The 14,971-nt window shown below is 41.8% G+C and overlaps 1 annotated feature.

Annotated features, from left to right (window-relative positions):
- Positions 10,038 to 11,237: an enhancer, noted in NCBI's record as "BRD4-independent group 4 enhancer chr13:110509939-110511138 (GRCh37/hg19 assembly coordinates)". NCBI's record gives its function as "activates an origin of replication core promoter dependent on BRD2, P300/CBP, MED14 and CDK7 cofactors, and independent of BRD4, by STARR-seq in HCT116 cells {active_cell/tissue: HCT116}" and the evidence as "EXISTENCE:reporter gene assay evidence [ECO:0000049][PMID:35650434]".

Here is a 14,971-nt window from a genome sequence, read left to right on the forward strand (position 1 = left end):
TATTATTTTTCAATCAGTTTTGATCACTCTTAAAAGGATCTATCAAAATATTCTTACCAGAAATAATTGTTTATTTTCTCACAGAAATGAACTCACTCAGTGCCCAGCATCAGTGTCACAGCATTTTGCTGTTTTTAGAGATGCCAGAATAAACTTGTCCAAACGCCTTTTTTTTTATTTTTCACACCTGAAAACAAACCAAACCAACAAACCTTGTGATTCTGCAACCTTGTGGGTCACGTGGTTCTAGTCTTTTCTTATTTAGAAAAGATGAGGGAACATTTCCCAGTGGCACAGTGAACATGGTTGGGGCCGTGAAATGATGTGGCTCATTACTGGAATATCAAAATCGCTGCTACAAGGGAGAGGGAAAGGCAGGCACGGATCAATTCCCGGAACCCAGTGACATTTCCAAACAAGGAATAAATGTCAATAGTAGAGGTAAACACTTCAGCCCTCCAAGTTTTGTTTTCTTTTAATTAAGGAGGAAAAAATTACCTTACCACAGAGTGGGAGTTGTCCTGGGAGTGCCTGAACCCCCTGGCGAGGGAGGGAGCTCATTTTAGGGCTCTGGCTGAGGCTTCGCCTGGTGCATCTTGCAGTAATGTTCTTGGAAGGAGAATGTGCTACGCGGGTAGTCGCCACTTACTGCAGCCATTCCTTTTCTGGATGGAGGGTCTGGATACGTTCATTAACAAAAGAGAGAATGTGTTTTCCTAAGTATAGAACCATAGGAACTGTATAGGTCCACATTTAAAACAAAACAGTTTGGAAATGTTGATTCTCTTCGTTGTTCCTCTTCTGTGTCGATGCTGTCAGACTGTAAGGTTATTCTCATAACCATGAAACACATGCAAATATACATACGCTCTCCTTCACCCACCCGCCTGTTCTGATTGAAATCTATCAAAAAGTAAAAACCTATAGAGGTTGTATTTACCAGATTTCTTCTTTTGATTTTGTTCCTTAGGAGGGCTGCGTGGGATAAACACTTCATTTCATTAATAAAACAGTATTAATTCATTAATAAAACAGCATTAATTAATAAATAAAACAAGTCACGTTATTTTGGTTCTCTATTGCATCTCCAGTAGGTATTATCTCAGTAGTTCTATCCCTGGAGATGAGAGTACTCAGATCAATATCTTAGAAACATATTGTGTATTTGTTGTACTGTGAAATACTCTGCAATTATACAGTATAGATACAGCAGGATAAAATCTATTGGCATCCAACTTGCCAATTGTAATAATTAAAAATAGTAGAGACTTTATAAAAGGTTATATAATTATTTCAGGTGGTGAATCATAACACACATATGTCAAAAGAAAAATTTGTGAGAGACAATCCTTGCTTTCAAATTGTTGGGGTCAGGGAGGTGGGCCTGGTTTCCGGGAGATCAAAGAGGACGATTACAGGTCTGGTGGCCTGGGGTTGGGGCTGCAGGAGAGAGTCTGTGGAGCTTTGTTGACTATGGAAATTGAAGGGGACTTATAAATGAAAACAGTTCCATGCACGATTTGTCATGGCACAGAGACTGGTTTCGTGAAGGAAGGTGAAGAAGTACCTTTAGACAGAGAAACCTTTAAGTCTGCATGTGTAGAAGGATGATGGAGACGAGGCAGGAAAAGCGAGGTCTCCACAGGAGCAGGTTAGGAACAAGGACGGACTTGATTCTCTATGTGGATTGAGAGTGGCAACAGGAGATCCACTTGGAAATGACTGACAGGCATTTAAATGTGGAAGAATTCTCCCAGTAGAGGGAAGACGAAGAAACAAAAAGCCATAAAAAAAAGTACTGGAGGAGGGAGGAAAGACGGATAAAGTTGATTATATTTGTCTTGATAAAGATAATATAAACAAAGTGGAAAGACAAACAAAACCTGAGAGAGATAGTTGCAATATGTTTGATAGACACAATTTTCACTTCCTTAATATACAAAAATATATTTTACAAATTAATAAGAGAAGAATCTGCTACCCAACAGAAAAGGGCAAAGGATATGAATAGGCAATTTACACTGAAGGAAATACAAGTGGCTTTCAAACATATGATAAGTTGTTCAGCTTCTCTTCTAAGAAGCGAGAATTAAAACCACAAGGGGATCCTGTTTGTCTCTTATGAGACTGGAAAAGATCAAATTAGAAACACATCATGTTGGGGAGGTTACAAGGAAATGTGGAACCCAGAGTCAGCGGGAATATAAATTCATGCATTGTCTTTGGAGGTGAATTTCAGATTTTTCTCCTTTTTTTTTTTATTATACTTTAAGTTCTAGGGTACATGTGCACAATGTGCAGGTTTGTTACCTATGTATACATGTGCCATGTTGGTTTGCTGCACCCATTAATTCGTCATTTACATTAGGTATATCTCCTAATGCTATCCCTCCCCCCTCCCCCCACCCCACCACAGGCCACGGTATGTGATGTTCCCCTTCCTGTGTCCAAGTGTTCTTATTGTTCAATTCCCACCTATGAGTGAGAACATGTGGTTTTTTTTTTTTTTTTTGAGATGGAGTCTCGCTCTGTCACCCAAGCTGAAGTGCAGTGGTGCCATCTCGGCTCACTGCAAGCTCAGCCTCCTGGGTTCATGCCATTCTCCTGCCTCAGCCTCCCAAGTAGCTGGGACTACAGGCGCCTGCCACCATGCCCAGCTAATTTTTTGTATTTTTAGCAGAGACGGGGTTTCACCGTGTTAGCTAGGATGGTCTCGATCTCCTGACCTCATGATCCTCCTGCCTCAGCCTTCCAAAGTGCTGAAAATCTATGTCATGAAAGCACGTACAATCAAACATCCATTTTTTTGAATTTATCTTACAGATAATTACACATAGGCACACCAGGCTATTTTTGAGTTAAGATACAGAACAGTGTAAGCATATTTTATGTTTAAAAAGAATATCGACATATATGGATGATATATGCTTATATCTTCTAGAAGATGTTAGAGGGCATCAGGGTGACGAGCGTGGATGGGAAGGATATTAAACAGTGGAAGAGATGTGTATTAGTCCGTTCTCATGCTGCTAATAAAGACATACCCAAGACTGGGTAATTTTAAAGGAAAGAGGTTTAATGGACTCACAGTTCCACATGGCTGTGGAGGCCTCACAATCACGGCGGAAGGCAAAGGAAGAGAAAAGGCACATCTTACGTGGTGGTGAGCAAGAGAGCATGTGCAGGGTGGCTCCCCTTTGTGTGCATGTGTGTGTGTGTGTGTGTGTTTGTGTGTGTGTGTATACAGAGAGAGAGAGAGAGAGATTTATTCACCATCACGAGAACAGCGTGGGAAAAACCTGCCTCCATGATTCAATTACCTCCCACCAGGTCCCTCCCAAGACACGTGGGGATTATTACAATTCAAGGTGAGATTTGGGTGAGGACACAGAGCCAAACCATATCATTGATGGAAAAAACTGCTTAGCGAGGTGCTCTGAGAAACAGCACAGTGCCATCGGGCAGGACACAGAACAAGAGATCCAATGGGAAGCTGGAAAATTTGGAAGCCCGCTGGGCATCTGGAGACAGCAGACCCCTCCATCCACAGCAGAAAGAATTAAGGGAAGAAAGCATGAAGTGCAGGAGCCTGGAGGAGCAGGAGTGTGAATTCAACTTTGGAAAGTTACATAGACAGCTATGAAACTTGAGGTGCTGCTCAGTTTAAGGGGTGCCCTTGTCTCATTTAGTTTTAGTTTTATGTATAATGACAACAGAGTAAGATAACTCAGTGAGCAGGAATAAGGCAGTGGAGAGGAGAGGTGGAATGTGCAGGTATCAGGAAGAATAACCAGGAAAACTCCCCCAGGAGGGGCACAGGACCGGACCAAGGTGGCCGCTGGGTAGACTGCCAGCTTCAGAAAGACAGCGGGGAGAAAAGCTATTGTTAGGAAAGCTTTTAACGTATTTCAAGGTGGAAAAGAAGGTATGTGGGAGAACTGTCTTGAAACAGAGAGGCAGTTGGTTTTAGCAGAGGACTTGAGATCACCTGCCCAAAGCTAAGGGATTTCCTGATCAACAGTCATTGTTTTAATTACATTTTAAAAATCTGCTACTGAAAGAATTTCCTCCAGACTTGTTTTCTTCTGATTAAATATCTCATCCCTTGCATGTATTAGATATGGAAAAAGATAAAAAGGTGTAGAGAATATTCCTGTGAATAGACTACACAAAAGACCAGATTCTGCCTCAAAAGGGGATGATGACCTTAACAATATTCACCTTAAAGAGGTAGCTTTTCTTATTTCTAATGTGAGGGTCTGGCTAGAGTAGACTTATTCAAGCTCTGTGTTTCCTTAACTAGTTATTTCACTAACAGTATTTAAAAAATCAAATAGGCCAGGCGCAGTGGCTCATGCCTATAATCTCAGCATTTTGGGAGGCCAAGGTGGGTGGATCACCTGAGGTCAGGAGTTTGAGACTAGCCTGGCCAATATGGTGAAACCCTGTCTCTACTAAAAATACAAGAATTAGCCAGGCTTGGTGGCGGGAGCCTGTAATCCCAGCTACTCGGGAGGCTGAGACATGAGAATTGCTTGAACCCCGGAGGCAGAGGTTACAGTGAGCTGAGATTGCTCCACTGCACTTGAGCCTGGGCAACAAAGAGCAAAACTCTGTCTCAAAAAAAAAAATAAATAAAATAAAATAAATGGACTCTTTATTTTAGGTGACTATTTGTTAGCTTTAAACATTTTCCCCTTATTAAAACTTTTGGGGGTATATACAACTAATAAGTGTTCAGGGTGGGAAATTTTGCAAAGTGCCAAAAAGATACATAGAAGAATGGAATCATTTCTAGTAACCATTTGCAAACTGTGTTTTAAATATGCAGAAGTAAGGCAGTAGTGGAAATAGTAATGTATGTGGCACATTCTTTACCCAGAAGATGAAACATTTCTAACTATGATTTCACTGTGTATCAACAAAAGGCCACCATTTCCTCTTGCCTTTTTATTTATTTATTTATTTACTTATCTATTTTACTTATTTGAAACAGCGTCTTGCTCTGTCACCAGGCTGGAGTGCAGTGGCACGATCTTGGCTCACTGCAACCTCCACCTCCTGAGTTCAAGTGATTCTTCTACCTCAGCCTCCCAAGTAGCCGAGACTGCAGGCACCTGCTACCATGCCCGGCTAATTATTTTTGTCCTTATAGTAGAGACAGGGTTTCGCCATGTTGGTCAGGCTGGTCTCGAACTCCTGACCTCAAATGATCCACCAGCCTTGGCCTCCCAAAGTGCTGGGATTACAGGCATGAGCCACTGCACCCAGCTTCCTCTTGCCTTTTTGAAAATAGAAGACTATTATCTTGATAATCTAGGTGGTTATGACCCTTGTGACTACATATTTGTAGTCATTGTCTTCTAAGTATGTTTTGGGCGTTGCCTGGCAGGGACCTTCTGTGGCTGACATTTCTGGCTGGCGAGCAGTGAAGGACGTGTCTTCCATGACGCCGTGGAATTTTACCTTGTGACTACTCAGATGTTTTTCATCACCTGTCCTTATGTTGATTTTGGTTGTTTGAAGCTCTTACTCTAGAACACTCCTCAGAGAGGGCTAATGATAACAACGTTCCCTGAGTTTCTACACATTTATATCTATTTGCGACTTTTATATTTGACAGTCATTTGCTGTGTGAAAGTTGTCAGAATCGAAATGGAGTCATTTGTGTTAAAAACCCTGACAACTGGAGCTGGGGCAGGCTGTGAAGAAAGAATTCTCATGCACACATGCCTGACAACAAGAACTGTCACAAAAGGCTGCAAAAACCACAGCTTTGCACAAAGACCATTGCAACCCTACTTACACAAAATCCTTCTTCCAGGACATCCACCCAGCAACTGCCTGTCTGCCCCGGACTGCACCATCCTTGTTACTGATCCTTTCAAAACAATCATGTGATCCTCCGCATTTTCCTACAAAATGTCCTACCTTTGTCTTCCTCTACCTCTATGAATATGCACCTGGTTTCCTATGGCACGCACATTCCCATTGCAATGCTTGTTCCTGAATAAACATCATTTTCTTCTAGAGAGCCGCTCTGTTATTTAGGCTGACGGGTGAAATACAAAATCTTTGGCTCCCATATTGTCTCCTTTGGGCATCATAAATATAAATATTACTAAACATTGTTGTCAAAAACTCTGAAGCAAATCTGATTTTCTCTTCTTTATGAGTTGACTAATCTCTGCCTAGAGATTCAAATGATTTTTCCTCTTTTTTTAAGCAAAATCAATAATTTTCTGGGAATTTTAGATGTTGGTGTGCTGACTCCATATGCTCAGGACTGTGGTGGTCCATTTCAACAGATAGTTTAAGTCTTTCTTTTTATTTCAGGAAAGGTTGATTGAGTTACAAAGTTCAGTCATTACTGTTTCTTATTTGGGAAATTCTACTGTACGTATTGTGACACTTCTTTCCCCATCATCTAGGTTTTTCCACTTTTATTGAATTTTTTCCTTTTGATTTCTAAAAGTTTCCTCCTTTTAATATTCTATAAAGGTATGTGTTTCTTGTAATTTAGATCTCATTTCTAAATTTTTTAAAAAAGTTTCAACCCTTTCCTGAATTCTGTCAACTTTATTCCTGACTTATGTTGATCTTTAATATCTTCTATTAATCTCTAATTTATTTTAGATCATTTTGAAACACTGTGGTTTCAGTTTTTATCTGCTTTGTGGACTTATCCTGCAGGTGTAATCTCATTATCTGCAGGAACAATATTTTGTTCCTTATTCCTTTCCTTGGAGTGACTTTATATGGACTTCTGCAACCCTTTTCTGTTACTCATTTTTACCTGAGATTCACTTTCCTGAATTTTTAGGAGGGAGAGATGAGTCTAAAGAGTGTTTTCAGCTCCAGGCTCTGGACCTCTCTCTGGAGTTGTTTTCCTGAAACCATTAAGTGTGGGGCTGGTCCTTGTTCACCCACCCAGGATCCCTGTCCCTCCCTCTCCCCCCTTCTCTCTCCTCCCTACCATCTCTATCCTGCTCTTTTGTATTCTCTTCCCACCAGCTTCTCCTCTTTGTGGCATTGAGTCCTGGAGGGAGCTTGGCTTGTTGGTTTGAGAGTGGATCCCTAGCACTCATCCACAGGTTGGAATTTGCATAAAGAACTAAAAGTAGAACTACCATTTGATCCAGCAACTTCACTACTGGGTATCTACCCAGAGGAAAAGAAGTCATTATACAAAAGAAGATACTTGCACAGGCATGTTTATAGCAGCACAATTCACAACTGCAAAAACGTGGAACCAACCCAAATGCCCATCAATCAATGAGTGGATAAAGAAACTGTAGTATGTGTATGTGATGGAATACTATTTAGCCATAAAAAGGAATGAATTAATGGCATTTGCAGTGACCTGGATGAGATTGGAGCCTATCATTCTAAGTGAAGTAACTCAGGAATGGAAAACCAAATATCGTATGTTCTCACTCATAAGTGGGAGCTAAGCTATGAGGATGCAAAGGCGTAAGAATGAGACAATGGACTTTGGGAACTCAGGGGGAAAGAGCGGGAAGGGGATAAGGGATAAAATATTACAAATTGGGTGCCGGGTATACTGCTCAGGTGACGGGTGCACCAAAATCTCACAAATCACCACTGAAGAACTTACACATGCAACGAAACACCACCTTTTCCACAATAACTTCTTATGGAAATAAAATATTTTTAAAAAATTAATCCAAGCATAAGAAAAGAAAGCACCTCCTGTTTCTGTTGCAGTTCTCAGTTCTCATACAGGCTCCTGTGCTTCCCAGTAAGCATCAGCAGGCTACTTGGTGGTTTCCTTGTTCTCATGTCCAGCGGCTACCCCACTGCCTGCCAACCAGACGATGATGCCACTCAGGTCTTGTGGCTGTTGTGGGTAACTTTCTAGCATTTTGAATGTCATGTCACCTAGTTTTGTTGCAAATGTTTCTTACTTTCTGTTGTGCTATCCTACTTGTATTGTGAGTTTTTAGTGGGGAGTGGGTGGGATTTCAAGAGGATCACAAACAACACTACCATAGCCAACTTCCAAAAGAGTACTTCGGAAAGTTTTGTAGTCCTTTTATATGTTTCTTAGTCTAATTTTTGAATGAAAGGCTAAGAAACGCTGTTTTGTTTTTGTTTGTTTGTTTGTTTTAGCTAACTGCTGGTTTACTGGGAAGGGATAGCAGTCTTTCAAGATGATAATACTAAAAGTAATATATTTTACTATTTGAAAGGGTCAAATCAGAAAGATTCATAGAGAATATGATGGAAAATTCAATATGGCATCTTGGCAAAATAAAGATGAGGCTAAATATGGGACTAAACCCCCTTTATTTTCCTTTTGAGTTGCTTGGAATTTTTTAAATGATCTTCATCACCATTCAGAATATTCATTAAATCTTATTCACACTGAGGACTCTTTGAAATTGGAGAATCTGTAAAGTCAGTCTTTACAGGCAAAGTTAAAGAAGAGAATACAAGTCTAAACCCCTCCAGGCCCCCGGCCCCCACACACACCCTCACACACACGACTTTATTATTTTCTCTTACAGCTAGACAACAAATATGCTTTTATCGTCCACCCTGAAGATCACAATGTTATTTTCCTTCATTCTATTAATATAGACCAATTAAGTTAATGCGTCCCCTGGCATGCCTTAATTCCTGGAAGATCATATTTTACTGGACTTCTTACATTTGCTTTCATCTTTACTAAATTAGAATGAAAGTGAAATCCATTATGGATATTACAAGAAAGGCTGCCTTTGCAAGGGGAAAAGTGTTCCTTCTCTCTTTTTCTTTCTTTTTTTTTTCCTCCTAAATAGAGATGGCTCTATGTCATAGGGTAGAGATTAAAGATGGCATCTTCCAGGAGGCCATAGGAGGGGATATGCACTTGAAACTCAGCAATGCTTATCTGTTCGTCCTCTAATTATTATGCTACCAATGCTGGGATCCCACTCGCAGAGTTCATGGTTTAGGCCAGTCTTGGGCAGAGATGCCTTGGTTTCTTAATCTCCACAGGTGATCCTGGCGGACATCCAGGGTTGAGAAACATGGTCTAGAACACAGACCTGGAAGACAAGGCTAAGAAAATGGACAGACTCTAAACAGATCATAAAAGACCACGAGTGTATTCCTTAGGACTGTGGACCTTCATTTATAGGTAATGGGGAGACATTGCATGTTTTTAAGAAAAGGAATTAGAGGACTATACATATTTTTGAAAAATAACAGGTAGCAGTGGTCTGAGACTAGAGGTGAGAATTTAGTTAAAGGCTATTGCAGAGGTAACAGAAGATGAATTGCTGCACCACAGCAGTGCCATGCAGATCCCAGAGGGAAGGAGATTGTGAGAAAAACTGCTTGTAGGGGAGATTCCCAGGAGAGACCCTCTGAAACTGTGCAGCATAGGTCTGGGAGAGAGGAATGTTTTGGAGTTTTCTGGCATTCTGAGATAGAGTGTTTGCAAATAGAATCAACAGGTTTTGGTCCCTAACTGTAATAGAGAAGTAAGCAGGAATTAGCATTGGACCTCAGGGTAAGCAGGAAGATGATGGTGTCTCCTTAAGAAGTAGAAGCTGAAGAGCTTGGGGGCATTTGATTTTGCTGTGCTGGGATTCCTAGACTCAGTGGGGAGATAAGGCTAGAGAGGTCAGGCTGGTAAATAAAATTATAGGCCTAGAGTTCAAGAGACAGCTCTGAGCTGGAGATAGTTTCATGACCAATAGTTGTATAAGTAGTTATGGAAGTCACATGAATGAATGAGATGATGCTGGAAGAACGGGTTGGGTTTCTGAAAGGAGGGGCTAAGAACAGAACCCAGGAAGATTCTGAAGTCAAGGGAGAGAGGTCAAAGAGGCAGGCAAGCAAAGATGCCAAGAAGCAACCTCCAGGGAGGCAGGAGATGCATCCCAAGAGAGCAGCTTGGGATGTGCCCAGGGACAAGATTGTCTCAAGGAAGAGGGGATGTCAATGGGTTATAACCCTGCAGAGCTGAGCCTAGGGAACCACGTGGGGACCTGTGCCCCTGCAGATCCTGATTACGTATGTCTGGGGAGGGCTGATGAGCCTACCTCCCACAAGCTCCCAGGTGATGCTGACGACACCAGTATGCAAGCCGAACTGGGAGTGGTAGGGCCAGAGGGAATTGTGTTGGATGAGGGTGGAAAAAGAGAATTGGAAACCCGAAGCTTCATGAATGTAGCAGCTATACATGTCGTATTTTGTTAGATTAAGGAGAGAATCTGAGGTATTGACTAAGGCAAATGACTTTGGACTACTTTTAAGAATTTGAGCTTAGCTTCATATATTTCGCAGACGCTGAATTTGGTGGATCAGCTGGCACCACCCAGATGGATAAACTGGCTCATATGATCTTGTGGCCCCCATCCAGGAACTGACTCGGTACAAGAAGACAGCTTCAACTCTCTATGATTTCATCTCTGACCTGAGCAATCAGCACTCCCGGCTCATCAGCTTCCCCCGGCCCACCAAGCTGTCCTTAAACTCTCTGATCCTCGAATGGAATGTTCGGGGAGACTGATTTGCATAACATTAAAACTCTAGTCTCCTGCAAAAAAAAAAAAAAAAGAATTTGGGGTTAAAGTTGAGAGCAAAACACATCCATGTGAAAATCCTGTCCAAAGAAAATTTGCTCTAAGACCTGAGGACACATCTGCATGTTTTGCAGCTTGCGGGAAAAGAGCCAGAGAAGAAGTGAGGAAAGGACAAGGACCACACAGCCCAGGATAGCTACACACAAGAACACAGAAAAGAAGCATTGGCCAGGATGTGGGGAAATTGGAACCCTCAAGCGTTGCTGGTGGAAATGTATTGTACAATAGTCCAGCCACTGTGGAAAACAGCATGGCAGTTCCCCTGAAAGCTGAAAGTAGAATTGCCATATGACCCAGTTAACCCACTTCTGGAAATGTACCTAAAGGAATTGAAAGCAATGACTCAGATACCTCTATACACGTGTTCAAGGGTATTACTCATAAGTGTTCATCAATAAATACATAGATACACAAGGCTGGGCGTGGTGGCTCATACCTGTAATCCCAGCACTTTGGGAGGCCGACTCAGGTGGATTACTTGAAGTCAGAAGTTCAAGACCAGCCTGGCCAATATGGCGAAACCCCGTCTCTACTAAAAATATAAAAATTAGCCGGGCTTGGTGGCACGCAACTGTAATCCCAGCTACTCAGGAGGTTGAGGCAGGAGAATCGCTTGAATCGAGGAGGTGGAGGTTGCAGTGAGCCAAGATTGCACCACTACACTCCAGCCTCTGTGAAAGAGCACAACTATGCCTCAAAAAAAAAAATAAATAAATAAAGATACACAAAATGTGGTATAGACAAACAAAGAAATATCATTCATCTTTAAAAAGAAATAAAATTCTGACACAGGGTATGACATGGATGAACCTTAAAGACATTATCCTTAGTGAACTAAGCCAAACACAGACAAATTCTGTGTGATTCTCCTTATGGCAGTTGCTAGACCTGTCACCATCACAGAGAGAGAAGGCAGAATGATGTTTGCCATGGGCTGGGGGAGGGGAATGGGGAGTGTTTCACGGGGACAGAGTTTCCATCTGGGAAGATGAAGTTCTGGAGAGGGATGGTGGTGATGGGTGTACAACATCGTGAATGTCGTTAATGTCACTGAATGGTAGATTTCAAAATGGTTAAAATTGCAAATTTTATGTTATATGTGCTTTATCACAATAAAAAATAGTAAGAATAAAGCATATAGAAACATTTCTCTCCCTTAAGAAAACAAGTGCGGATACATGGCAAAGTCCCAGGTGTTGTGAGTGGTGGAGGCAGGAGGGTCAGGGGAGTCTAGGTGCAGTTGTGGTGGAGTCTGTGGGGCGGCGGGGAGATGGGTACATAGAGATCAGCTGGGAGGTGACACTTTAAGGCAGTGAAAGACTGCAAAGTGCAAGAGCTACTGCCTTCTCCCTGAGATGGTGGGGGGCAGCTGCTGAGAAAAAAAATTTGGATCTTGAAGACTGGGCAAAGTATGGAGTCGGCTTTGTGGGGCAAGGAAATGCTAATTGACTAAGCTTGTCCTGAGCTGCAGGGGCAGCTGGAAATGTGAACAGTCAGGAAGATCACGGAGCCTAGTGACAGCACCTGAATGGCATTGGGCTTGACTAACACGTCACGACACTAAAGTTAGCAGGTGGCATCCTAGCAAGACAGCCTGAGGTCCTGGGAGCTGGCACATTCGGAAATCCCATGGTCAGGTGTCTGGTGTCAAGAGGATTTTGCAGAAGGGTGAAAAGTCTGGACTCAGAGTTGCATTCCTTGGAAGGACTGCATGAAAAGAAAGGCTTAGAGGACTGGAATTCAGATACAAAATAGTTCAGGAGCAGCAAACAACATAGGACCTAGTTATTTTACTTGAGGGAAAGACAGAGGCTTGTCCACCCAAATAAATCTGTAACTCTTAACTACACTGGGAGGAGTGTTCCAAGCAGGAATAGAAGCAGGTGAACTTGGGTAGGCTCCTTCCCACCTCCCGGGCTGAAATCAGATTTGTGGTCAGAGCTATAGAGAATGCCTGAACAGCTCAGCTGAGGGGAAGGAAGTCTACAGGATTATGGACCTAGATCAACCACAATAACTGCGCAATTCTTTGCCTGTTTAAAATGGCATTTTTTTCTCTCACTTTAATAAGTGTAAAGCTTTTGAAACCCTTTATCTAATTTAGCCTGAACCAATGCTGACATCCGGGATAATTGCTACCTTGCATTTTAAGGATATATCAGTTTCTTATTGCTGCTATTTACTACAGGTGTCTTACAATTCTGCAGGTCAGAGTCCAAAAGGGGTCTCACTGGGCTAAAATCAAGGTATTGCAAGTCCTCATTCCTCAGCTCATGGCCAGGTGCCATCATCATAGTCAGCAGTGGCTGCTTAGCCATTCACAGCCTCCCTCTAACACTGACCCTCCTGCCTGCCCCTTTCACTTATAAAGGCCCTTATAGGTCTTTATAGATCAGCTGATGAGCAACGAAGGCTATCTTGAGATAGGAACTTGGACTTGTGGGGTGGTTCTCTCCAGCTCCCACTGAAGGAGGCTCCTATCTCAAGATCAGCTGATAAGCAACTTCAGCTCCATTGGCAGCCTTAATTCCCCTTGCCATGAGACATAACTTAATCACATGTCCCAGAGACAGAATCGGCTCAGAATCCCTGGGGTCCATTATTCTGCCCACCACAAAGGTGGCAAGGAATATATATATATGATGTATATGAATATATATGTACATACATATACATATATACATTTATATTATATATATATATATGAAGGAAATTTTATCAGAATGGGAACAATGCAAACATTTCCAGAATATAATAGAATGTAAGCTCTGATATTGTGATACTAAAATGATGAGTTTGTAAGTTTGAATCTCCTGCTAGACTCTGAGCTCTTTGAGGGCATGGACTCTTGTTTTATCTTTGCATTTCTAATGCAAAGATAGGAGCTCAATGAATGTTGCAGAAATTAAAGGAAACAATACATTTGTTAAAAGTTTATTTTCATATTATAAAGGTACAGATTACAGGTCAACCAAGGATACATTTATTGAGTGAAAGGTCATAAACCATGCACATGTTCTCAAGAGATGTTTGTTGAGAAAATAAGTTAACAAATGAATGAATGAAGATTACATTTTAGCTGAGGATTTCAACATAACCTACTCCAAAAATTTTGCTGGAGGGGCTGTCTATGAAGAACAGATGTTAAGGACAAGATGGAAGAGTCCAGAGAAGAGAAGAGCTAAATTTTTGTCAGTGATGTGGGATGTGTTACAGTCTTGAAAGGCTACAGAGTTTAGATACTGCTATAAAAAGGGGAGGTATGGGCCAGGCATGGTGGCTCACACCTGTAATCCCAGCACTTTGGGAAGCTGAGGAGGATGGATCATGAGGTCAGGAGTTCGAGACCAGCCTGGCCAATATGGTGAAACACCATCTCTACTAAAAATACAAAAATTAGCTGGGTGTGGTGGCATGCGCCTGTAGTCCCAGCTACTTGGGAGGCTGAGGCAGAATTGCTTGAACCTGGGAGGTGGAGGTTCCAGTGAGCCAAGATCACGCCACTGCACTCCAGCCTGGGGACAGAGTGAGACTCTGTGTAAAAATAAATAAATAAATAAAAAGGAGAGGTATGAGCAAGTTCAGGGCTGAAAAAGGAAAGCAGATATACTTCATCTTAATAATTATCTGTTTCTCTGTACCTACAGCTTTGACTAGGAGTAGTACCATTCTAAGCATTTTATGTATATTGAATCATTTACTATTTACCACAACTATGTAAGGTGAATATGATTACACCTACTTTAACCTATCAGGAAACTGAGGCACATAGAAGTTATTCAGGGGTCATAGCTTATAGGTCATAAAGCCAAATAAATGCTTTTTTAACCGCAATGTTATGCTACCTCTGAACTAAATTTTGCATTGTAGAAAGAAGAAGGAAATAGAATTGCATACAACTGGTGGGCCCAAGTTAGGAATGGATTGAAAATTAGGCAGAGAAAATGGAACATGGTTGCTGAGGCACTATGAATCCATGATGCAATCTTCAGAACAGAGTGACCTGGTTAAACCTTGTTTGAGGAAGATAGCTGCAAAAATATTGAGGGTGGCTTTGAGGGGAGATACATGAATGGCAAGAATGCCAGCCAGGAAACAATACGGGCAGGAGGAGATTAGAGGTGACAGAATGGAGAGGAAATGTCTAATTTGAGGTCAACTTCAGAGGAAGAAATAATAGCAATTGTTGGCAGAGAAAAAAGATAACAAGCGATGTGCCGGGTAGAACCTCAAGGCAAGGTCTCTAGCCTGGCAGCTGAGCGGATGAGAAGTCCACTAAATTTCAGTGCACAATAGAAGCATTTTCTCTTTCTTCCCAGAAAGGGTTAGGGACATGAAGTGTAATAGAGAGAAATGTCTAACCTGCCTCTTGG

This window comes from Homo sapiens, chromosome 13 (genome assembly GCF_000001405.40).
Source record: "Homo sapiens chromosome 13, GRCh38.p14 Primary Assembly".
Taxonomy (NCBI): domain Eukaryota; kingdom Metazoa; phylum Chordata; class Mammalia; order Primates; family Hominidae; genus Homo; species Homo sapiens.